This window comes from Homo sapiens, chromosome 7, assembly GCF_000001405.40.
Source record: "Homo sapiens chromosome 7, GRCh38.p14 Primary Assembly".
NCBI lineage: Eukaryota > Metazoa > Chordata > Mammalia > Primates > Hominidae > Homo > Homo sapiens.
In genome coordinates this window covers 81,752,346-81,777,100 of record NC_000007.14, presented here as the reverse complement: position 1 = coordinate 81,777,100, position 24,755 = coordinate 81,752,346, and the positions used below count along the sequence as shown (strand labels likewise).

The following is a 24,755-nucleotide window of genomic DNA, read 5'->3' as shown; positions in this document are numbered from 1 at the left end:
TCCCCAGGACCACAATAAACATGCAACATGTACATATAGTAAAAGGGAAACCTCAATTTTATTACATGGCTTTTAAGATGCAAAATAAATGGATTAAACAGTTACTTTGAAATGTACCTTATTGTGAATATTCCCATGTTCTTACACTAATGATTTTATCATGGTTGGATTCTAAACTGGGAAAAAAGAAATAGATTCCTCCAATTCATGCATTTTACTAATATGCCAGTGTCCAACATACCAGGTGTGGAGTGCTTGGGCTTTATAAGTTTGGGGGCACTTCAGATTTAACAAAACAGCCAACACCTGGAAATACATAAAAGCTGGCCTCTAAGCACAAGGTGATGAGTGTTAGTTAACTAGGCCCCCTGGATTCAGAAAATGGCCCCTCGTGGCTCAGAAAAGAAAACTGAAAATGCAGCATCAGAGTTTAGTTTTAGCTCAGATTTCCTGGTGTTCTCAACGCCTATCCTCTCTTTACTCCCAGAAGGCAAAACACAGCTCAAGTCATGACAGTCTTTTCTGTTTGAGAAGAATTTCTTTTAATATGTACTCTGCTATTATTTATAGTCATAGTGAACAATATAAAAATGCTGTTTAAGTATATATGGCATATTTCTACAGGAAAAAAATAACCCTGCTATTTTTACACACATGACAATTCCTACCCTGTGATGATGTACTTTAACTGTTACTGTCATTTTCCTGGATGTTGCTTTGTGGTCTCACCACAAATTCTGCAACAGATTTCCTGGGAGTGTGGCAAAGTCCCGGGTGAGTGGTTGAGACTATGATTTGACTGAGTAACCATTAGACTCCTTTTAGTGGTTAATCAATGATGAATTAATAAAAATAAAACCTTTACATTAAGTCTATAATGTGCACTGAAGTCCTGTCAGTTGCTTTCAATTAGGTCATTTTTATTATGTAATGGACAAAGACTCACCAAATTCCCACAGACTCTATACTTGACTCTATAGATTGCTTCACATTCCTTAGTAGACAGGTGTTTTGTTAGAACTATTTTAAAACACTTTTCTTTAACCATTTTCTCTGGGCTTGTGTCTGTGGTATGTGCTTGGCATACTCTCTGAACAAGGAGCTATCTTCAGTCATTGTTACCTTATGTTCAAAAGACAAAGTAATCAAGGTCGTGTTATCCTTGTTCATAATATACTACTGCAAAATACTAGTAGAAAGAAAGGGGGGTTTCAAACTAAAGTGCCACCAACATACAGATAACTTTTCAGTATCTTTTAAAATTATGCCTTTAATAGTCGTTATCTTGCTTTGCCCATAATCACATTTAGAGTACATTTACACCAATCATCTTAGACTAGATCAACATTATCTAATATAGCTTTCTGCAATGATGGACATATTCTGTATCTGCATTATCTACTGTGGGAGCCACCAGCCACTCATATGTGATTACAACACAACAGAGAAAGTTTAGTTTTAATTAATTTAATTTTGAATATATATAGGAACATGTGGCTTATAGCTACTATATTAGACATCACAGGTCTAGGTGGCTGCATGGATGTTGTACCCACTCTTCAATAATTTTGCAAATAAATATGTCATCATGCTTGCTTGTGTCATATAGATTTTAGTTTCTGCTTCATGTGTTTGAAGTGGTTTTTGTCTGATTCAAACTGTAATGTATTTTGTAATATTTCCTACATTAAAGGTAGTCAACATATTCAGTGGCAAGGTCTAAAGATAAAAAATGACCAGTTAGAGGGTAGAATCAACAAACAGGAAAACAATGAGAATATCTGGTTTTGTAGGAAAAGTAAGCAATACCAAAGATTACACAAGTGCTTCCTTCATAGGTTTGGAAGGTAAGAATTATATAGAAGTATAGTGGCTACTAAAGAATTCAGATAAGTAGAATAATCTAATTTTAAAGGGAGAAGGAATGCCGGAAATTTCTTAATCTGGATCTCTTTCAATGTGGCATAGTGTTTGATAGCAGTGATTTGATACCTGGATAGCTGGTGTCCTGAAATCACATTTCATTAACAGTTTAACCTAAACCAAGTTATCATCTCTAAATGCTGATTTCATTACCTGTAAGTCAATGACAATAATAAGATATACCTCTTAGATACACGTACCTTTTTTTTCCTGAGGCAAGGTGTAAGGGCAAGTGAGATAACACATATGAAGTGTTTAGTACAGCACCTGACACATACAGCCCCATTTTGGTGATAGGGAAACTGAGGTATTAGGGCGATAAATTAGCTTCCTCAATTTGTAATTGTTTTAGTAAGTGACTCAGCTGGGATTTGAAAGCAGGCCTATGACTAAGCTGAGCCTATCCAAGTGGTAGCAGAAACAGAATGGCACCTGGCATGTGACAGGCATTTAATAAACAAAATGACAGTTCAAGAACACAAAACGCATTAGTAATCACAGGCGTTTAGTAAACAAAATGACCAGTTCAATAACACAAAACTCATTAGTAATCTACAGATCATAAGGTCATGTCAGCTTATTCCTCACGTACGTTCTTACAAGCATCACTTGTGGAGAAACCTGGGCTTAAGACAAAGAAAGATACCGTGTTAAAGCAGCAGCCTTTTAAAGAGCACAGTAATAGAGGCTTTTCCATTAAATCCATCTAGTATCCATGAGATACTAGAACCCTCAATCATAGGACAGATTTAAAATGGTATTATAGGGTAATGAGTATCCATCTAGTATTTAAGTATTTACATAAATTGCAGTACTTAAAGTAATCTCTTTACAAGTTATTTTATCAAAAACTTTTCAGACACAATTTTTTGGGGATTTATTCAAACTGTTTAACACTTAAGAAGTACTGGCTTACCTTGGAGATACTGCTCGTTTGGTTTCAGACCACTGTGATCAAGCAAAAATCGCAATAAAGCAAGTTACATGAATTTTTTTTTCGTTTCCCAGTGCATATAAAAGTTACACAGCAGACTATTAAGTGTGCAACAGCATTATGTTTAAAAATGTCCATACCTTAACTTAAAAATACTTTATTGTTAAAAAATGCTAACGATCATATAAGCCTTCAGCGAGTGATAATCTTTTTGCTGATGGAGGGTCTTGCTTGATGTTCAGAGCCTTGCTGTGGCTTTGGCTTAAGGCTTAAGGGAATATTGCAGCTGGTTTGATCTTCTATCTAGACTGCTCAAATTTTCTGCATATCAGCAATAAGGCTGCTCTGCTCTCTTATCATTTGTGTGTTCACTGGAGTAGCACTTCTAACTTGCTTCAAGAACTTTTCTTTTGCATTTGCAACTCGGATAACTGGTGCAAGAGGACTGGCTTTTGACCTAACTCATCTTTGGGCATGCCTTTCCCCAAAAGCTTAATTTATTTCTAGCTTTTGATTTCAAGGAAGAGACGCGCAACTCTTCCTTTCACTTGAGTACTTAGAGGTCATTGCAGGGCTATCAATTGGCCTAATTTCAATAATGTTGTGTTTTAGGAAATAGAGAAGCCTGAGGGGAGGGAGAGAGACGGGTGAACAGCTCGTCAGTGGAGTAGTCAGAATACACACATGAATGGATTAAGTTTGGGTTGTGGTTTGTGGTGCCCAAAACAATTATGGCAGTAACATCAAAGATCACTGATCACAGATCATCATGTAAAATAATAAGGAAATATTTGAAATATTGCAAGAATTACCAAAATGTGACACGGAGACACAAAGTGAGCACATGCTGTGGGAAAAACGGCACCAACAGACTTGCTCAATTCGAGGACACCACAAAACTTAATTTGTAAAAACACATTATCTGTGAAGTACAATAAAGTGAAGGGCAATAAAATGATGTATGCCTATGTAAGGCAATCAGTAGATGATGGGAAAAAAACATTGCATGATTTAGAAAAAACAAAGAGAATATGTTATCAAAATGACTAAACTAATAGCATAATTAGAATTTCATTTGAGTATTTCTTTATAGTTTTGAGAGATTTAAAATTATGTATTATTTTATAAATTATTATGGAGGATCTCCTATATACCCAGTCTCAGACTTATTTTGGTGATTATACTCTGGAACATGTGATTCTTCTCCTCGTGGGGTTAAAAAAATTTATACCATCCTATGGGGTATGACTAATCTGAATCTCACACTTGAATATTACTTTGGGATCTTAGGCAAGTTATTTAAGAATAAAAATAACTTACTATGTTTCCTCAACTATAAAATGAGAATTTTAATAATCTTAAACTTACTGTAAGGATGAAATAATTTTCAATAGTATGTAATATGATGCTTAGCATACATTAAGATCTCAGTGTATATTAGCAACAATTTCAGTAAAGAAAGACCAAATAATTTTTGTCAAGAAATATGAATATATAAATTATATAGGTTTTAAGTTGTATTTACCATATTTAATGTGACAGTAAAAAAAGTCACGAAAATGTGTGACCTAATAAGTTTATTCAGTTTTCTAATGTCCTGAACCCCTTATCTCAGATGGATTTTGCTCCAAACTTATAACAATAATTTACAACCCTGACTCTAGTTTTTTTTTCTGAGAGAAAAAAATAAATAGAAACACTGTTCTTTTTCTTTCCTTACCTACAGGAATTTACTTACAGAAAAATCTAACTTCTTTTAAAAACAGCCTTAATCCCTTGTTGGGCCAAGGGAAAACTTTTCCATTGTTCTCTGAAGGTTTGCTAAAAAAAAAATTACTGTCAAGAGGCAGATCAATAGAAGAAAAGGCATACACATTTATTTGATCATAATTTTACACAACCCGAGAGCCTTTAGAACAAAGACCCAAAGTTACAAAAGAAATTGTCCATTTTTATGCTTAGGTTCAACAAAGTGTGGGCAGGTGTGGAGAAATACAACTGGACAAAAGGAATATGATCTCATGCTAACAGACTGAGTGGGGACGCCTGGCAAGGTGAGATTCTTCCTGGTATCTCTGTGCAGTACTCATTCCTTCTGGGTATGGGGCAGGACCTTCTTTGGAATGGGGTCTTATGAGCTACGATCAAACAAGGTAGGTCAGATAATGTCTTTATGGCCAGATTTCACACAGAAAGTTGAGGTGTTAGAGTGATATGCTTAGGTTTTATGGCTGGTTTGGGAAAAAGGGTTCTGGTTTCTAGGAGCCACCTTGGGAAAGAGGGATTCTAGTTTCTATGCCTCGCCTTGGGGGAGAATGAAGGGCCGGAGACTGGAGAGCAGGAGAAGGTCAGAGAGAGCTGATTCTGAGGTCTTCATTTGGGGTATCATTTTTCTGAGCCCCTACACCCTAATAAAGCACAAGAGATGCAGTGGAGCAATTCAGGGTCACGGTCAGGCTATGCATTGAACTGAGATTTCCCAAAAAGTCTACTGAACAGTAAAAAGAAAGTAAAATGGATCCTGGGGACACCAGACAGAGGCTGACAAATGATTTTTAAGTAAGGAGAAAATGATAAAAGAGAAGGATTAGCAATAGAAACGGGTCATATAAAATAGATCCCTCAAAAGGAATTCTCTTAATCCCTAGCTTCTCTAGATATCCCACAACCTCAGGGACTTATCAGGCAGGTTGTTTTTCCCTGAAAGTGGGGGTAAGGGAGCTGGAGGACAAATGAAGGTGGTATGTGGAGGGAAGGCTGTTCTGTGGATGAGTTTAATTCAGCCCCACAATCACTTCTGTACAGCTACCCACCGCTCTAGTCATTCCCACATTTGGCCTGCTTTCTTTTCCTCTGTGGACAGGGGCACTGTTCTCTACTAATATCCATCTCAGAGAGATACAGGGGCAAGTATCCCTCAGCATCCATTAGAAATAAAGCAGGCTCTTGCTTAAAGTTACCAGAGCATCCACCTCTGGGTGCAAAGACAAATTCTCTGAATCAAGTGAGGGGTCTGGGCAATGATCTCACAAGGATTTGATACCTAGGAGTCCCCCCATGCCCATACAAGCTCCTCATCTTTCCACTTACACTTTGGGAAGCTGGCTGTCGTGTACAGGCAGATGAAGCTGGAAAAGAGAGGCATATTCAGTACTCACGAATTCAAACAGCTTGAGGGATTTCCGGTGAAAGTCAGTCCTAACCAGTGTATACGTACATACACACCAACATGTGTGAATGTGTTGTGTGCACGTGTGTGCCTGTACAAGTCCACATGGCATATTTACCTGTCAGGGACAGGCTATGGACAATGACTGTTTCTTGGACTTTCTCTTAAAAAGTCAGATCAGACAAGTTTATTTTGTATACTTTGGGTAAATGTGTGGTATTTCGTGAGTTTGGCAGTTTGTGAAAAAAAAAAAAAAAAAAAAAAAAAAAAAAAGCTGCCTGCTCTGAGCCCATGGGGCAGGGGCAATTTTTTCATCTGACAATCTGCGTGCTTTTGTTTTGCTTGCTTATTTTGGCCCCACAATACCACACCCTTTTCTTAACTAACCTCTTTCTACCTGGGCTGGACGTGCCTGGGCTCTCCTCCCTGGCCCCGCTCCCACCTCTCCCAGGTCTCTAAACCCCTAGAGAACCTGTGTCAGTGTTTTGAATCCCTCAGTTGCTCTAGCAGGAAAACTAGACAGATTAGGAGCTGGGGCACATTTGGCTGAAAGACAGCTCTTCGCTTTCTTCTTATGCTGCTTCCCCTTCCTCTTTTCCCAAATAGATATATAAACACATGTATTTTCCTGTTTAAATTGAGCGAATTGGTCCCCTGCCTGTGCCTTGATTTAGCCATTGGGCTCAGCCTTGCTCCTCCCTTCCTTACTCGGATAGGAGCCACTGGGATCTGGAGCTCCAGCTTCCAAATTGAAGCTGGCCTCAGGCCAGGTGACCTTTTCTTTGTAAGTTTCTTTCCTAAGCGTGGGGTTGGGGGGAGGCGGGGAATGGGGGGGGTTGCAGGGATCTGTTTGGTGCTGTTGAAGGGGGGGCGAGTGAGGAAAGGAGGGGGCTGGAAGAGAGTAAAGGGCTGTTGTTAAACAGTTTCTTACCGTAAGAGGGAGTTCAGACCTAGATCTTTCCAGTTAATCACACAACAAACTTAGCTCATCGCAATAAAAAGCAGCTCAGAGCCGACTGGCTCTTTTAGGCACTGACTCCGAACAGGATTCTTTCACCCAGGCATCTCCTCCAGAGGGATCCGCCAGCCCGTCCAGCAGCACCATGTGGGTGACCAAACTCCTGCCAGCCCTGCTGCTGCAGCATGTCCTCCTGCATCTCCTCCTGCTCCCCATCGCCATCCCCTATGCAGGTTAGTTCCCTTCTTCTTCTTCATTATTAGTATTAGTATTTAACTCTCCTGCTAACCTTCCCTATTCCTTTTAACACCCTCTTTTTACCCTATTCCCAGCATCCTTTCTGAACTCAGTATGTAGTATAGGTTTCTAAAAGCTCTCATTATGCTTTTTTTGACATTCTTTTTTGTTGTTGTTTGAATAGCATTTAAAATGATAATTAACTTTCCCTCAACTCCCCTCCACCTCCAACCCAAGCCCCGTCCCACTTAGCCTAATAGTTGTGGATTATGAGATAGGGAGGAAGTGCTAATACTGGCTGAACTTGGCTGCTTTGGACAAGTTTAAAGCTAAAGAGAGGGTCTGGTCTGAAGAGGCAAGAGTGATGGTCAGTCCGGCAGGAAGTCATCCTTTTCCAGAGAACAATTTTTCATGATAATGCACTACTCCACATCACCTAGTCAACATTTGGAGCCAAATTACGACTTTGTACAGGTTTTCATTTTGAGGAGGCAGAATAAACTCTGAGTATTTGCATATCATAAAAATGAAAGAGAAAGCCTCTTTTTAAAGATCTTATTCTTTCTGGGTACGGATGCCTGCCCTTTGAAACTGCAGTGCACGGAGACTTTGATTAAAGCTGCAGAACTGCCCATCTCTGTCTCCCACTTTCTCCCTTGGATTTGCCGTTTGGGGAGGAGTTGCTTGAAAGTTCATATTGCTTGGAGATTTAGAGATCTCGTTTGCTGCTCTGGGAAGTTTCTCTTGTTATCAGGGCAAGAGGAAACATCTGTATTTTGTTGTATCATTGTAGAGGCTGAGGTGCCAACGGGAGAAGGCAGTGAATATCAAGGGTAGGCGCAGGGGAATAAAAGAGTGGGAACAAATGCCCAGATGGAGACATGGCCTTTTTACAATATAAAAAAGAGAACTGGCTGTATCTTTTGAGATGGTAAATATGACATTTATCAGACCTTTGATCTAGTTTTTGATATGGTACAAGGGTTAAAAAACTCAAGAATTTTCTAAATGCAAAGGAAAATCATTCAACCCACCTGGTTTTCTTTTATTTTGTGAAGTGGCCCGTTTGGAAAATGACACTGTTTGGAAAGGGTCACTCTGAAAGCATTTAGGTAAGATTTCTGAAGAAGTGAAAAAGCAGTGAGTTCAAATCAAGCAGGTTATCATGCTTGACATGTGTCATGTTAAAATCGCTTCACAGGGTCGGGTGCGGTGGCTCACGCCTGTAATCCCAGCACTTTGGGAGGCCGAGGCGGGCAGATCACGAGGTCAGGAGATTGAGACCATCCTAGCTAACAAGGTGAAACCCTGTCTCTACTAAAAATACAAAAAATTAGCCAGGCGTGGTGGCAGGCACCTGTAGTCCCACCTACTTGGGAGGCTGAGGCAGGAGACTCTCTTGAACCTGGGAGGTGGGGGTTGCAGTGAGCCGAGATTGTGTCACCGCACTTCAGCCTGGGGAACGGAGCAAGACTCCATCTCAAGAAGAAGAAGAAAAAAATGCTTCACAGATGACTGCTGGTTTAGGGGATTTTGAGCTTAAATTGAAATAATGGCTAATATTTTGAGGGTTTTCATTTTTAAAGATTAAAATGTCACTGTTCTTAAGTAGAATCTGGTTACCTGAATTCATCTGTGCTAACGCAAGGGGAACGCAGTGTGGAAAACCCAAACAGTAGATCAACCGTAGGCAGTGTCTATTTGTTTTCGGCATGCATTATGAACTTTTGGCAGGAGACATACATTTGTAATTATATTTCACTTTGCCTAATGTAGAAATGACTGTGTTTCCTGAGTACAGGCAGAATGCAGCCCAAGAGTGCTGGCAGGCAAGGAGAGTCCAGTTGGGAATTACAAATATGCTGTGAATAATTCCTGAAGTGGATAATTCTAAAATTGTCATCAAAGGAGGGTGCGCCTTTGTTTAGATGGCCAGTTTGATAGTTTTTTTTAATAACCTTTAAAATAAAAAATATGGGTAGCCTCTTAGAACACACAAAGTTTGTTCTTTTTTAAATGACATTTAATATTGACTATTTAGAGGTTTCTTTTGTTGTTACTAGCTTTGATTATAATTATTTATTCTATGAATTTATATTTGTATGTATTGTAAAATAACACATTGTTAGGAAAGAAGTATATACTGTAAGTTGACAACCAGTTATCAACAGAATACACTATGGAGATACTTTTTTAAAAGCTTAAGAAATATTCAATATAATGGGCCCCCGCCATCTTTGTAGGAGTTAGCCTATATAGAATTACCCTCTATTCACTCCCACCTACATGGGAAACAAATATCCAATCCTCTGTAATAAAAGAAGCATTAAATGAGCACCTAATATTCAAGAGTATGTGGGGGATGTAAAGATGAACAAATAAGAAAGGAACTTAAATTTGTTGAGCAACTGATATGAACCAAGTAGTAAAGTACATCTCACTTAATTCTAATAAGATTGGCACTATTGGACTCATTTAGCCGGTTCAAAGACCTCAGTTATCTTATTTCTTTGTGAGTTAAGGGACAGAGCTGAGATTTCTACCCAAATGTATGTGAATGAACTATGTGGTGTTTTTTTTTTTTCTTTTTTCATTTATATTGAAGCGAGCAGCAGTGAAATCAACTGAAATTTACTTAAAAAAAATCATTTGGCCAAGTGATATATTTTCAAAAAACCCTGTTAGAAATACTTTGTACTATGGTTGAGAGTTCATTTTCAGCATAGAGAATCAAACCAGGTGAAGGGGTTATATGGTACTGAAGTCCATATGAAAAGATGGATGGTAGAATAGTCAGTATCTTAGCACAGGATCACAAGTGGCCCAAGGTACAGAGGTTCGTAAGTATAAGGAATGTCCCAGGAAGGACCCCACACAGCAACTGAAGGCAAGCATTTGAGGCAGAAGTATTGGGCATGTGATGGGGAATATTGTCTGTGAGTGGAAAAGTAAGATGAGGTAGAATGGATAGGATTGAAGGTCATGCTCAACCATGTGGTCTTTAAAATGAATGTCATGCGAGCAGCTGAAAGTTTTTTTGTTGAAAATGTACTTGATTGAAGTTGTTCTTCAGTGTGGTTGCTTCAGTTCCTGTGTGGAAGGAAAGTTGTAGGCAGAAACAGACAGTGAAGGTGGAGGCCAGGATGAGGCTTCTAGAAGAATGAAACCTTAAATAAGAACTGGAAAGGAGAAGGAAGAAAATACCTAGGGAGGCCCCTCAAATCACACTGAACATCACTTCATTTTGTAAATCCCCTTGGAAGAGATGATGCTGCAGCTTCTCAAATATCAGCATTTGATTTACATCTGACACAGTCTCTGTCTTCTTGGTATCTTTATTTGTGATATTGTTGCCTTCTCTAAAGAAAGGGAGATGACTGCCGATTTGCAAAAATCCATGTCTTAGATAATAACAACGAAAATTTAGACTTCTATTTGAAATTCTTGGCTTTGGAGAGTTTACAATCTCCAGTCTCAACCATTCCCTTCCATTAATTATTTGTGTACTTTCATCTTAACATCTTGCCACTTGAATCTCTTCATCACTAATCATGTGGATAGGTTTCTCAGAATATGTGGAGCCAGATTCCTGCTTCTTTCCACACCCTGCAAATCCTTTCCTTGCATGATTTTCCTTTGAAGTCAATGGTTAGTCCACACAGAGAAGAAAATATATGAGGTACTGAGAGAAATGAGTGTGAGGTGCCGGGACCAGAGGGAGAAATGTGTCTTTCTTCAAGCACCTTGATACATTTGACCCTACTTTCTGTGTGTAGGTTTTCACTAGGATCCTAATGATTTCAGCTCTAAAACAGGGACTTCAGGTTCTTCAGGAAATATAGCTTCCAGAATGTTTTCCCATACTGGGAGAAGAGGAAAAAGGAGTTGTAATTTAAAGCACAGGAAAGCATGACAAATTTGTAGTGATCTCTCACCCTTTGATTTCATTTCAATATTTTGTTTATAAACTTCAGCTAACAGTCACGCACAAAAAATAGTAGGGAAAAATCTGATCCAAAGATATTTTTGAGTTTCTTCCCAAATTAAGCTTGGCTTTTAACTGTTTTCAGTAAAACAAGCATCAGTTGTTAATACATATGGAGGAGAAAGTTGAAACTATTTTCAGCAAAGGAATTTTATTTTCAGATGCTGTTTTTGAATGACTTCTGTTTTGAATTTTTCTTTTATTGTATAAGGAATTAATTTTATAGATGTGTGGATTACATGATGTACAATTAGCTCCAACTTCATATTTTTGAGTAATTAGTTACTGGCTTAGTATAAATGACTTAATTAAAAGGGAAAGTTTCTATGTCATGAGAACAAAATAGTGAGAAGAGAATTCTGGTGTCTGGTTCTGATTGCCCCTGATAGCTTTGTAGCCCCAGACAAGCTTTTCATTTCTATTTGTTATCTAGTAAAGGGAAATAATAGATTTATTTGTTTTTCAAAATGCTTTTCGATCTTTAGATGAAAGGTAGTGATTGGAAAATTTGTCAGCAAGCAAGGGTAGACTGTTTTTGTGAGGTACAACAAAACATTAACACATTTCAGTAGGACAATTGAGGAGATTTAGAATTAAATACAATCAAAAATTCCACGGAGACCTCTGCTCTCCAGAATCTTCTTCATGGCTTGCCTTCATTTTGCGTGGCATTGAGAAAAGAAACCAGAGCATTGACCAGAGATTTTGTTTCATTTGATACATTAAAATACATTACACATTTAATATTTGTCTTAGACTTTTTGATTTTTAGGCTTTTCCCTCACACTTAGACATGTATACTAAATAGATTATATATCAGGCCAACTTCAATTTTATATTTTTAGTTAATATAATTATACACATATTTAAGAAATACGTGTATAAAACTCTTCTATTTTGGTGAATAGTTGTTTCATAGATTTTTTTCATCAATTAACTATCATTTATTTCTAAGAAACATTCAAATTTATACAGGAAATTATAAAACTATTATGCTATGAAGCATTTCAAAGCACCTTAGAAATAGTGTAATAAGGTCAAAGGAAAGAGAAACTCTTAATGGAAAAACTTATCTCCTATTAACATGGTTCTGTGACAGAAATCAAAATTTGAAATGAATTATGCCTTCTTTGCTTGGAAGAATCACAGTTTCTTCTTCATGCCAGAGATTAAAGGATAAAATTTCAAAAACAAAACTAAAACTTTGCGTATTTATAACATTTTTAAAAATCCAAATTGATTTTCAAATATTTACTTAATGGTTACAGTTTAATGTTAACATAACTTTTATATTTTAGATTGAGAAATTGGGATGTTAACATTTCAGGTAATTAAAAAGTCATTTGACAAGTCAATAAGATTGCCAGTGTTGTACAAGGCATTTGGTCCATGCTCAATAAATAACATGTTGACAGATTTTTGGTTGATTTCATTTTCATGTTAAAATGTCTTTTAAACTGTATCTGTTGTACCATAGCCATTCTATCCTGTAAGGCAAAGCAAAATTAAAAATGAAAGCATCATTGCAGGAATTAGTATTGTCTTTTGGAGATTGTGCTTTGGAGTTTTACAGAGATTCAGAAATTTAGAGGACCTCGTGTTTTCTCTAATTTATTGCAGCCTTCAAATTAGGATGGACACTAATTAGTAGCATCTGCTCATCTCATAAACCAACTGGAGCCAGTGGTTGCTGACAAACTTAGAGTATGATGGCATTTTTGGTACCTCACTCTGCTAGTTGTATTTCCAAATTTTGTGCACACAAATTTTTACTCTCCTTTTTTGACACATTTCAACACAGATTCAGATCAGGAATGTATTTCCTGCTCTACTATCCACATTTCTTCTCTACTGCTAGCTCTAAACCAAATTTTCAGGAAAGTGTTACATGCCATATTTCCACTACAATCTTAGCCATTCTTAGCTACAGATGGCATGGTCAGTGGTTCAGAGTGGTGGTTTTTAAGTCAGCCTGCTGGGTTTCCAATCTGAGATCTTCTAAGTGGTCAATTAATTTTTTTCTATGTCTTGGTTTCTTTGGCTGAAAAATGAATGTATCCTTACTGCCTTTGGTATAAGCATGTTTGAAAAGAATTGACAGGCAGAGGGGCACAAGCACATCTATCCTTATTACACAATAGCTGCACTCTATTAAACATTTTGATCTGCATTGTGAAGATGCTGATCACTAACAGATTGGGGCTATTTTGGGCAAATTGAGAATACAGAGAACAAGTTTTTGAAACACTAAAGTTATCCATAAGATTAGGTCTTTTAGAATGTTTTAGTTCTGTTTTTCAGATTTTCAGTAGAAGGCTTCATGCTATCTAGGCGCCTTGTATTTTCATGAAGAAAAATGATATTGCTGCATTAAAGGATGAAGTTTTACATACATTTGATTTACAGCATTTGGCTTGATCTCAAGACAAATAGTTCGGTGATACCAAGAAATAGTGTCCAAAAGCACAGAAAACATTTATGCACTAAAGGAGGAGAGAGGGGCTAAAATATGAATAACATGAAAGACTTTAAAGAGTAGGTCAGAAGAATTTGTCCACTGTACAGTTTTTAGTGAGACGTTTCTCGCCTGTCTTTGTGTTGGCTTATCTCATTAAATACTATAACGTATATGAGGACCAATTGTAGAAGGAAATGAAAAGTTTAATTATAAAGCATGATATGATATGCTTCTAGCACTGATATTTCCTTTCATGATGTTTGGAAAATATCATGTTATTTATTTCTTTAGTGTGAACTCTGTCCTGATTTTTAAAAGCTCCTTAATTTGAAAGAATGTAAATGAGTGACTCTACATGACAAGTTATTTGTTTTTCCTTGATTACAATATTCCTCTCTTTCTCTTAACTATTCCCTACCTCACTCTGCTCCTAACCCCTGGAAATCTAGTATATTGTCAAGTAAAATCACTTTCTTGTAGATGATCCTTAGGATTTTTTTTATATATGAGCCTTAAAAACATTTCTCCAATGTTTATTTTTTTAAAACATTTTGTATTTAATAGAGGGACAAAGGAAAAGAAGAAATACAATTCATGAATTCAAAAAATCAGCAAAGACTACCCTAATCAAAATAGATCCAGCACTGAAGATAAAAACCAAAAAAGTGAATACTGCAGACCAATGTGCTAATAGATGTACTAGGAATAAAGGACTTCCATTCACTTGCAAGTAAGTTACTTCATTTTCTTCTTAGAATAATTTTCCAAATATAGCATGCATGTATTATAATCATGTGTCTTTTGTGTTGTAGTCAATGTGATTTGATCATAAAATTGTAAGTTTGACTCTAGATTTAACTCACTACAAACGAAGACTTAGCTCTCAGTTTATGGAAACATAGCTTGAGTAAGGGAGAGCGCAAAAACTGCTACCTTCTAAAATCCACAGTGGCTTTGGTTATGGAATTTGTTTTCTCATCTGATGAGCAATTGAATTTGAGTAACTAAAATGAAATTCAATTGGCTTTGGGTTTTAAAATATCTATTCAGAGTAACTTTTTTTTTCCTTGCAAGAGGAATGGAGGAATTTTTAGAACAGAATTTGGGCAGCAGCCAAAATTTACTTCATCTTTATTATATCATTGCATTTAGGGATTTAAATAAAAGGTGTTGAGAGAATTAGTTTAAAAATTAGAGAGACTGGTGTCAGCAGAGACTGTTTAAAAGAAGAGGATAGCAATGGTAAAGTTTCAGGTGAAAATTGATGGGGCAATTTAAAGAGGCATGAGGGGACTTAAATGGAGAGTTTCATGTCTTTTGACAGTCCCTGTGTGACCTCATAGGGAAGAATTCCTTACTACAGGGGTCCTTAACCCCCTACCCCTGCCACTAGTCTGTGGCCTGTTAAGAAACAGGCCTCACAGCGGGAGTGAGCTGCAGGCCAGTGAGCATTACTGCCTGAGCTCCACCTCCTGTTGGATCTGCCACATTAGATTCTCATAGGAGCTGAACCCCATTGTTAACTGCACATGAGTGGGATCTAGGGTGTGCGCTCCTTATGAGAATCTAGTGCCTGATGATCTGAAGTGGAACAGTTTCATCCCAAAACCATTCCCCGCTCCCCGGCCCACCCCCACCCCCACTCCACACCCTTGGAAAAATAAACCAGTCCCTGGTGCCAAAAAGGTTGGGAACTGATGCCTTATTACTTTGCCAGTGATCCCAGAAGATAAAACTCTTTGTTTTGGGCTAAGAGGGTGACAATTTCATTCGAATCGTCTCCTAAACTGTCAGAAGAAGACACATTTTTTTAGTTCTTCATTATCTTACCTCACTTATTTCCCACTCTTTCACTCCCTATTTTATCTTTTTTTTTTTTTTAACAGGGTCATGCATAAAATCCTGTACATATTAAATTCTACTCAATTACATTTAGGTAGTGACCCATAATGTGACCACAGGGTTTAGTAATGTCATGGCAAGTGGTCCTAATTTCATCTTGCCTTTTTCAGAGAAATAAATGTTATGGGCCTGAGAGGAAGAGCATGGTCAGAAAAGATCTTTATCAGGTTTAGGTTGAGGAAAGACTGTCTGCTTTCCATTTCTAGAGTGAAACTGCCAATTTCCGGGAGATAGTTCCTGGCAAGAGGAGTGGGAATTGACTTTGCAAGTATATTCCTATGATAATTCTGTTTTATTCCCTGACTTTCCTATAAAAGCCTTGCTATTGTTAGAAATAGAGACAACTACTCTCAATCAACATCTCAGCTGTGTAGATTCATGGAGATGTTCCAGCAGTTGAGGAGGATAGAGTTGTATTTTCCCCTCTCAGGGCTGGAAGGGCAGGGAAAAGGGAAGGAGAGGACACCTCATTGCTGATTTTTAACTTTGAAAATAAGCTCTCTTGGACCCACAAGTAAGGAAAGTATTGCTACCATTCAATTTTCACATTAGTCAACCGTATACTTAGGAAAGAAAAACTTTCCTTTTGTTCTATTTACTAGGAACTAAAATGATTTTACTGGAGAAGACATTAATAAATTAGTAAGTGCTCACATATTCCATATATATGAGATTTCATACTTTCCTACCATATTTTGGTTGAGTTATATTTATTCTCCAAATTTATGGCAACCTGTGCAGAAAACCACAGGTAATATTATGTATTAGAGCCAAGATTTTTTGGCCCAGAAATGGTAAAATCCTCCTCATTCACACACACACACACACACACACACACACACACACACACACACGCACGCACATAGACACACATATGTATTTGGGATTATTAAATATCTTAGCTATATAGAATTGAATGAACATACTATGATACTATGAACTTAGGGTCTTAATGAATCAAAGGATGTTGTTTCTAGACATGTTATATAAAACATAATTATTTAAAAACAATGAAAAATACCGTAAACCACTTATAAAATACCAAAGAAGTGTGCGAAACCATCTGTGACGTGAATGAGTGTGAGGTGGAACATTCTTAAATATTGTTTTTCCTTGAGAAGTTATCAACAATATTGATTTCCTAGAGATTCAAATTATTCTTTGCTGGGTAGGAAAGATGACCAAGAATGCCTGATTCTAAGCTCTTCAGGAAATAGCTCATTCATAAATTCACTTAATAAGATAGGAAGCTTTCCTCTTTTAGCCATGGCTGGCAACTGGTACTAGAATTGCCTTCCTGCCATCAACAAATAGGAAATAGACAAAATAAGCTGTGGAAAAGATTACAACTAGAACGATGTTAAGATAAAGACTCTAAAAGTCAAACCTAAAAGAAGATGCAACTTACGGAATTTGATGGCTTCCACCCACTTTATATGGAGGTGTAAAATAATATAAGAAACACTTTTCTTAAAGAATTTGTCATTGTATTGGAACGAGAGAAAGAGTGAATGAGATCAGCAAACTGGAAATCCTGTCACCCACTTTACAGATGGAATCACTTAAAAACAAATTTATCATTTTTTTGCGTATTTATCATTTTGTTATATAAATAGGTTCTTTTAGTGAACAATAACAAAAAACCAATATAATACTTAGCTATAGGAATAGTAGGGGTGGTATGTCTTCATAACTTTCTTTAAGATGTTATGTCAAAAAGATATTCTCTAATATTACTAGTTTTCTTTAAATTAAAAATGCTTAGCACTTTGGGAGGCCGAGGCGGGTAGATCACGAGGTCAGGAGATCAAGACCATACTGGCTAACATGGTGAAACCCCGTCTCTACTAAAAATACAAAAAATTAGCGAGGCGTGGTGGTGGGCACCTGTAGTCCCAGCTACTCGGGAGGCTGAGGCAGGAGAATGGCGTGAACCCGGGAGGCGGAGCTTGCAGTGAGCCGAGATCACACCACTGCACTCCAGCCTGGGCGACAGTGTGAGACTCTGTCTCAAAAACAAAAAAACAAAAAATGCTTATATAAGCAAACCTGTTTAGGAAATATTAGCTTAAATAGTTATCCTCAACAAGATTTTCATAGCTTTTAATAAACTGCAATGTTTTATAATTCACCAAAAAATTACATTATATGCAAAAATTTCCAAACACTTGGTTTCAGATCCCACTTTTTAGGAGAATCCCTAGCGCATTGATATATCTAATGCACCTTAGAAAATGTCATTTTAGAATATATTTTTTACAGTTATACACTTTGTAAATTACTCCTGATATCTCAGATATAATTGAGATAGCTTAAATATCTCAAATATAATACCATTTTGTACAAGTGTGGATAAAAATATTCCAACTTTCTGTGAAGTTACAGAAAAATAAAGCCTTCAGAAATAATTTAAATAGTTGTGTTACATATTGATTTTGCATGTTAAAACTGTTATTTTTCTACAAGCCTTTTGGAATAACATGAGAATATTCCAAAGAGTATTCAATCTGATATTTAAATCTACTCCTACAAAAACTTAATTTTGTTCTTTCTTGTTTGGCTATCAAAATGGTAGGTTCAAATTTTACTCATATTTTTATTATGTATATGTAATTATGCATTTGTTTCTATATTGTCCATATGCCCATGGACAAGATGAACCATATGCCCATTCTTTAAATACTGTATAAATAGTAGTATTTCTTCTTTTCATTCTGATATTTTTTTCAGGGCTTTTGTTTTTGATAAAGCAAGAAAACAATGCCTCTGGTTCCCCTTCAATAGCATGTCAAGTGGAGTGAAAAAAGAATTTGGCCATGAATTTGACCTCTATGAAAACAAAGGTAACTGACTTCTCCCTAAATATTGCATAATGAAATAAAGTATAATGAAATGTATGTTTGTAATTTCCTGCCAGAGTGGTCTTTCTCACTGATTTTTCTACTATATATGAGATATTTTATGTAGTCAATTCATCCATTAAGACAGTTGAAACTAGTATCTTGACTATTTTTAGTATGGTACTTTAAGGAGAACATTTTCAAAACTTTTCATAATCTTGATTCCCTTCCTCCCTCTGTTTATTTTTATTTTTATTTTTTTGGAGCATCTCCTAGAACTGGCATTCTCCATGTTCATTTTAGAAAGTGCTACTTTCTTTCATTATAAAGTTTAAAACACTTTATATTACAGCAAATTCTGAGTTTGCTATAGTATTTTGCATTTAACAATGTTGGATAACTAAATTATAGTGATGATTACTGATGATAACAAAATATGGAGATTTTGGAGAAATGAGTTGGGACTATGTTTCATCATATACTTGAAAAAAATATTTAAAGGAGGAATTGAGACCATATTATTTGCTGATTGCCTATTCTGGTGGTCTGATATTATGTTCACTAGGTATTTACTTTGTTCAAAAGCAGAATCAAGTAAATGAAATAATTGAAGAATGTTAAACAACCATGTCCTATTAAATTCAGATACATAACCTGGTACAATATATAGATGTTTTCAAGTTAATAGGGTAAATGTTTAAATAAAATTAAAAATAAATTTATGGTAGAAGTAAGTTAATCTTTATACACCTCAATAATACTACAAATCTTGAACATAATTCATGATCTAGTATAACACCATTCTTACTTCAAACTGTCTTCTAGCTTGCTAACAACTGCATGTACTATTATTTGGTAGGAATATATAGGTTATTACAATTTGGTTGTCCTATCAGCAGTGGAAATGTTTGCAAAAATATGGAAACTAATAAGCAAGCTACCTCATGCATATGCATATATAAACAAAAATCCACACAATTTTACTAAGAAGGACAAATTAATTATCTTAGGTAACTTTTTGAATTCAATATAGGTTTTAAAAATCATTTAATTTTTGTTTTTAATATTTTCTTAAAATGGTCTATATATTTGAGCAAATCATAATTGCTTGGCTAGCTGAGTATACAGACTATGTTAAGTACAGCGACTGCTCTCTGGAGCTATCTATGCATATATACACAAAATTAAAACTTCTCAATCATCTGTTTGTTTTGGATTATTCAGAAATGTGTTATTTTGAAAATACTAGTAGAAGCTTTAGGCAAGAAATTTCAATGTTATTTGAAATAGTTTACAAGAGTTAATTACTTACAGGTTTGAACGGAATTTTTTTCTTAAATACTGCATATGTTTTGCATAGTTGCAATAATTTTATCTACTTTCTTCAATAGACTACATTAGAAACTGCATCATTGGTAAAGGACGCAGCTACAAGGGAACAGTATCTATCACTAAGAGTGGCATCAAATGTCAGCCCTGGAGTTCCATGATACCACACGAACACAGGTAAGAACAGTATGAAGAAAAGAGATGAAGCCTCTGTCTTTTTTACATGTTAACAGTCTCATATTAGTCCTTCAGAATAATTCTACAATCCTAAAATAACTTAGCCAACTTGCTGAATTGTATTACGGCAAGGTTTATATGAATTCATGACTGATATTTAGCAAATGATTAATTAATATGTTAATAAAATGTAGCCAAAACAATATCTTACCTTAATGCCTCAATTTGTAGATCTCGGTATTTGTGAAATAATAACGTAAACTTCGTTTAAAAGGATTCTTCTTCCTGTCTTTGAGAAAGTACGGCACTGTGCAGGGGGAGAGGTTGATTGTGAAAAATCAGAGGTAGATGAGAATCTTACTGAGGGCTGAGGGTTCTTTAACCTTGGTGGATCTCAACATTGGTTGCACATTAAAATCACCTGCTGCAAGCCCTTGACGAATCTTACTTAGAAGATGACAACACAGAACAATTAAATCAGAATCTCTGGGGAGAATAGGGCACCAGTATTTTTTGAGCTCCCACCATGATTCCAAAGTGCAGCCAAATTTGAGAACCACTGCTAAAAGCTCAAGCTTCAGATTGACCAGCTTTTCCATCTCACCTATCGCCTAAAGACCAAATTGGATAAATGTGTTCATTACGACAGATGGGTACTATTTAAAGATGAGTAAACACAATATACTTAGGCTCGTCAGACTGAGAGTTTTAATCATCACTGAGGAAAAACATAGATATCTAATACTGACTGGAGTATTAGTCAAGGCTTATTTCACACACAATTTTATCAGAAACCAAAGTAGTTTAAAACAGCTCTCCCCTTATTAGTAATGCATTGGAGGGTTTACTTTACCATGTACCTTGCTGAGCACTGTACCTTGTTAATCTCATTTACTTGTAATGAGAACCACACAGCGGGTAGTTTTATTGGTTCTATTTTACCTACATGACAAAACTGAAGCATAAAAACACTTAGTAAGTTTTCAGTGTCATGCACAACTAGGAAGTGACATGGCCAGAATATAAGCCCAGTCACCATCACTCTATAACCTGCGCTTTTAACAACTTCAGGGCATGACACATTTGGCCGGTCAGTAGAACCCATGCTGTGATTTGTTTTTGCAGTGGTGGTGATGACTGCCTTGTTGAATCCACTTTTTATTCTATTCCATTTTGGGGACACAATTCTGCAAGATGATTCTTCATTAGGAAACAGAGATGAGTTATTGACCAACACAGAAAGAAAAAGAGTTTGTTGCTCCACACTGGGATTAAACCTATGATCTTGGCCTAATTAACACTAGCTAGTAAGTGTCCAAGCTGATCATCTCTACAACATTTCAATAACAGAAAACAACAATTTTCAAAATTAGTTACTTACAATTATGTAGAAATGCCTCTAAAACACAGTATTTTCCTTATATTACAAAAACAAAAATTATAATTGGTTTTGTCCTCTTTTGAGAGTTTGCATGGTGTTACTCCCTGCATAGTGAAGAAAACATTTTATTTAAGTAGATGGATCTAAGTTTTTCATGAACAAAGGAATGACATTTGAAATCAATCCTACCCTAGTCCAGGAGAATGCATTAGATTAACCTAGTAGAGGTCTTATTTCACCCTGAGTTTTCTATGATCGTGATTCTCTGCTGGAGGAGTAATTGTGAAATAGATCTCTCTGGGAACTGGCTTCCTAGTCCAATCAGCTCTTTTACCAATGAACACTTCCTTGTGATATAGATGTTTATGGCCGAGAGGATCCAGTATATTAATAAAATCCCTTTTTGTATTCAATGAGGGAAACACATAATTTTCATCAATTAGCAGCTTATTGGAATATCTGCATGATGGTTTAACACTTTTAAGTGTTGACTAAAGATTAATTTTACAGAAAATAGAAAAAGAAATATGTTTCTGTCTGGAGGAATGATTTATTGTTGACCCCTAAATTGAAATATTTTACTAGTGGCTTAATGGAAAGATGATGAAAGATGATGAAATTAATGTAGAAGCTTAACTAGAAAATCAGGTGACCTGATATCTACATCTGTATCCTTCATTGGCCACCCAGCATTCATTAATGAATCAGATGATGGAATAGATCAAGTTTCCTAGGAACACAGTGAATATTAAAAGAAAACAAAGGGAGCCTAGCACCTAGAAGACCTAGTTTATATTTCAAAGTATATTTGGATGTAACCCAATTTTAAACATTTCCTCACTTGTCTCTCTTAAAGCCTTGCCAACAGCAAGGACAGAGAACCAAAAATAGTGTATATATGAATAAATGCTTATTACAGAATCTGCTGACTGGCACATGCTTTGTGTGTAATGGGTTCTCATAAACACTTGTTGAATGAACACACATAAGTGAAAGAGCATGGCTAGGCTTCATCCCTTGGTCAAATATGGGGTGCTAAAGAAAAGCAGGGGAAATACATTGGGACACTAACAAAAAAAAACAGTTAATTTAGGTAAAAGATAAAATACACCACAGAATGAAGAAAAGAGATGACCCAGACTGCTCTTTAACCTTCATGTCCTAGAGAGGTTTTTGATATGAATTGCATTCAGAATTGTGGAAAGGAGCCCATCTTTTCTCTTCATTTTGATTTTATTAACTCCAATGGGGGAATTTTATTCGTGTTTTGGCCATATCTACTTTTGATTTCTACATTATTCTCTCTTCCTTTCTACCTGTATTTGTCCTAATAAATTGTTGACTTATTAATTCACTACTTCCTCACAGCTTTTTTTTGGCTTTACAAATCCACTGGAAAGGTATATGGGTGTATCACTTTGTGTATTTCGGTGTGCATGTGTAGAGGGGACAAAAATCCTCTCTCAAACTATAAATATTGAGTATTTGTGTATTGAACATTTGCTATAACTACTAGGTTTCTTAAATAATCTTAATATATAAAATGATATAGAAAAAGGGAAATTATAGTTCGTATTATTCATCTAAGTGAAGAGATTAAAACCCAGGGAGTAAATAAATTGTCTAAGGACTAAGGTTGTATACTATTTAGGTGATAGATATGGGGCAACCGTATGGGTTTTATGATTAACAAATAAACTTCTCACCACTCTACCATATCAACTTTTCCATAAAAGAGAGCTATAGTATTCTTTGCTTAAATAAATTTGATTAGTGCATGACTTCTTGAAAACATATAAAGCAAAAGTCACATTTGATTCTATCAGAAAAGTGAGTAAGCCATGGCCCAAACAAAAGATGCATTAAAATATTCTGGAATGATGGAGCTAAAAGTAAGAAAAATGACTTTTTAAAAAAGTTTACTGTTAGGAATTGTGAAATTATGCTGAATTTTAGTTGCATTATAATTTTTGTCAGTCATACGGTCTGACAACCTGTCTTATTTCTATTTCCCCATATGAGGAATGCTAGTTAAGTATGGATATTAACTATTACTACTTAGATGCATTGAAGTTGCATAATATGGATAATACTTCACTGGTTCCCTGAAAATGTTTAGTTAGTAATAAGTCTCTTACACTATTTGTTTTGTCCAATAATTTATATTTTCTGAAGACTTAACTCTAGAATACACTCATGTCAAAATGAAAGAATTTCATTGCAAAATATTGCTTGGTACATGACGCATACCTGTATTTGTTTTGTGTCACAACATGAAAAATGATGGTTTATTAGAAGTTTCATTGGGTAGGAAACACATTTGAATGGTATTTACTAAGATACTAAAATCCTTGGACTTCACTCTAATTTTAGTGCCATTTAGAACTCAAGGTCTCAGTAAAAGTAGAAATAAAGCCTGTTAACAAAACACAAGCTGAATATTAAAAATGTAACTGGATTTTCAAAGAAATGTTTACTGGTATTACCTGTAGATGTATATTCTTTATTATGATCTTTTGTGTAAAGTCTGGCAGACAAATGCAATATCTAATTGTTGAGTCCAATATCACAAGCAGTACAAAAGTATAAAAAAGACTTGGCCTTTTCTAATGTGTTAAAATACTTTATGCTGGTAATAACACTAAGAGTAGGGCACTAGAAATTTTAAGTGAAGATAATGTGTTGCAGTTACTGCACTCAATGGCTTACTATTATAAACCAAAACTGGGATCACTAAGCTCCAGTCAGTCAAAATGATCAAAATTATTGAAGAGAATAAGCAATTCTGTTCTTTATTAGGACACAGTAGATACAGACTACAAAGTGGAGTGTGCTTAATAAGAGGTAGCATTTGTTAAGTGTCAATTACTCTATTATCCCTTGGAGCTTCTCAAAATAACCATATAAGGTGTAAGATGTTAAAGGTTATGGTTACACTCAGTGCACAGGTAAGCTAATAGGCTGAGAGAAGCTAAATTACTTACTGGGGTCTCACAGTAAGAAAGTGAGCTGAAGTTTCAGCCCAGATTTAACTGGATTCTGGGCTCTTTATTCATGTTACTTCATGAATCTGTTTCTCAATTGTGCAGAAAAAAGGGGGCTATTTATAAGAAAAGCAATAAACAAACAAGTAATGATCTCAAATAAGTAATGCAAGAAATAGTGAGATTTCAAAATCAGTGGCAGCGATTTCTCAGTTCTGTCCTAAGTGGCCTTGCTCAATCACCTGCTATCTTTTAGTGGAGCTTTGAAATTATGTTTCAGACAACTTCGATTCAGTTCTAGAATGTTTGACTCAGCAAATTCACAGGCTCATCTTTCTAACTTGATGGTGAATATGGAAATTCAGCTAAATGGATGTTAATAAAATTCAAACGTTTTAAGGACAGATGAAAATGACAGAATTTTAAGGTAAAATATATGAAGGAATATAAGATAAAGGATTTTTCTACCTTCAGCAAA

The 24,755-nt window shown here is 35.9% G+C and overlaps 1 protein-coding gene across 6 annotated transcripts in view; it reads left to right on the top strand.

Moving 5' to 3' along the window:
- The window catches only part of HGF (hepatocyte growth factor), a 71,038-nt gene continuing 53,336 nt past the window's right edge, over window positions 7,054-24,755 (top strand). For all 6 annotated transcript variants that reach the window (NM_001010932.3, NM_000601.6, XM_047420293.1 and 3 more), the window contains exons 1-4: window positions 7,054-7,217; window positions 14,229-14,394; window positions 18,297-18,409; window positions 19,798-19,912. In NM_001010932.3, coding sequence (NP_001010932.1) covers window positions 7,130-7,217; window positions 14,229-14,394; window positions 18,297-18,409; window positions 19,798-19,912 — 482 coding nt within the window. In that variant the 5' untranslated portion in view covers window positions 7,054-7,129. The remainder of the gene's footprint in view (window positions 7,218-14,228; window positions 14,395-18,296; window positions 18,410-19,797; window positions 19,913-24,755) is intronic.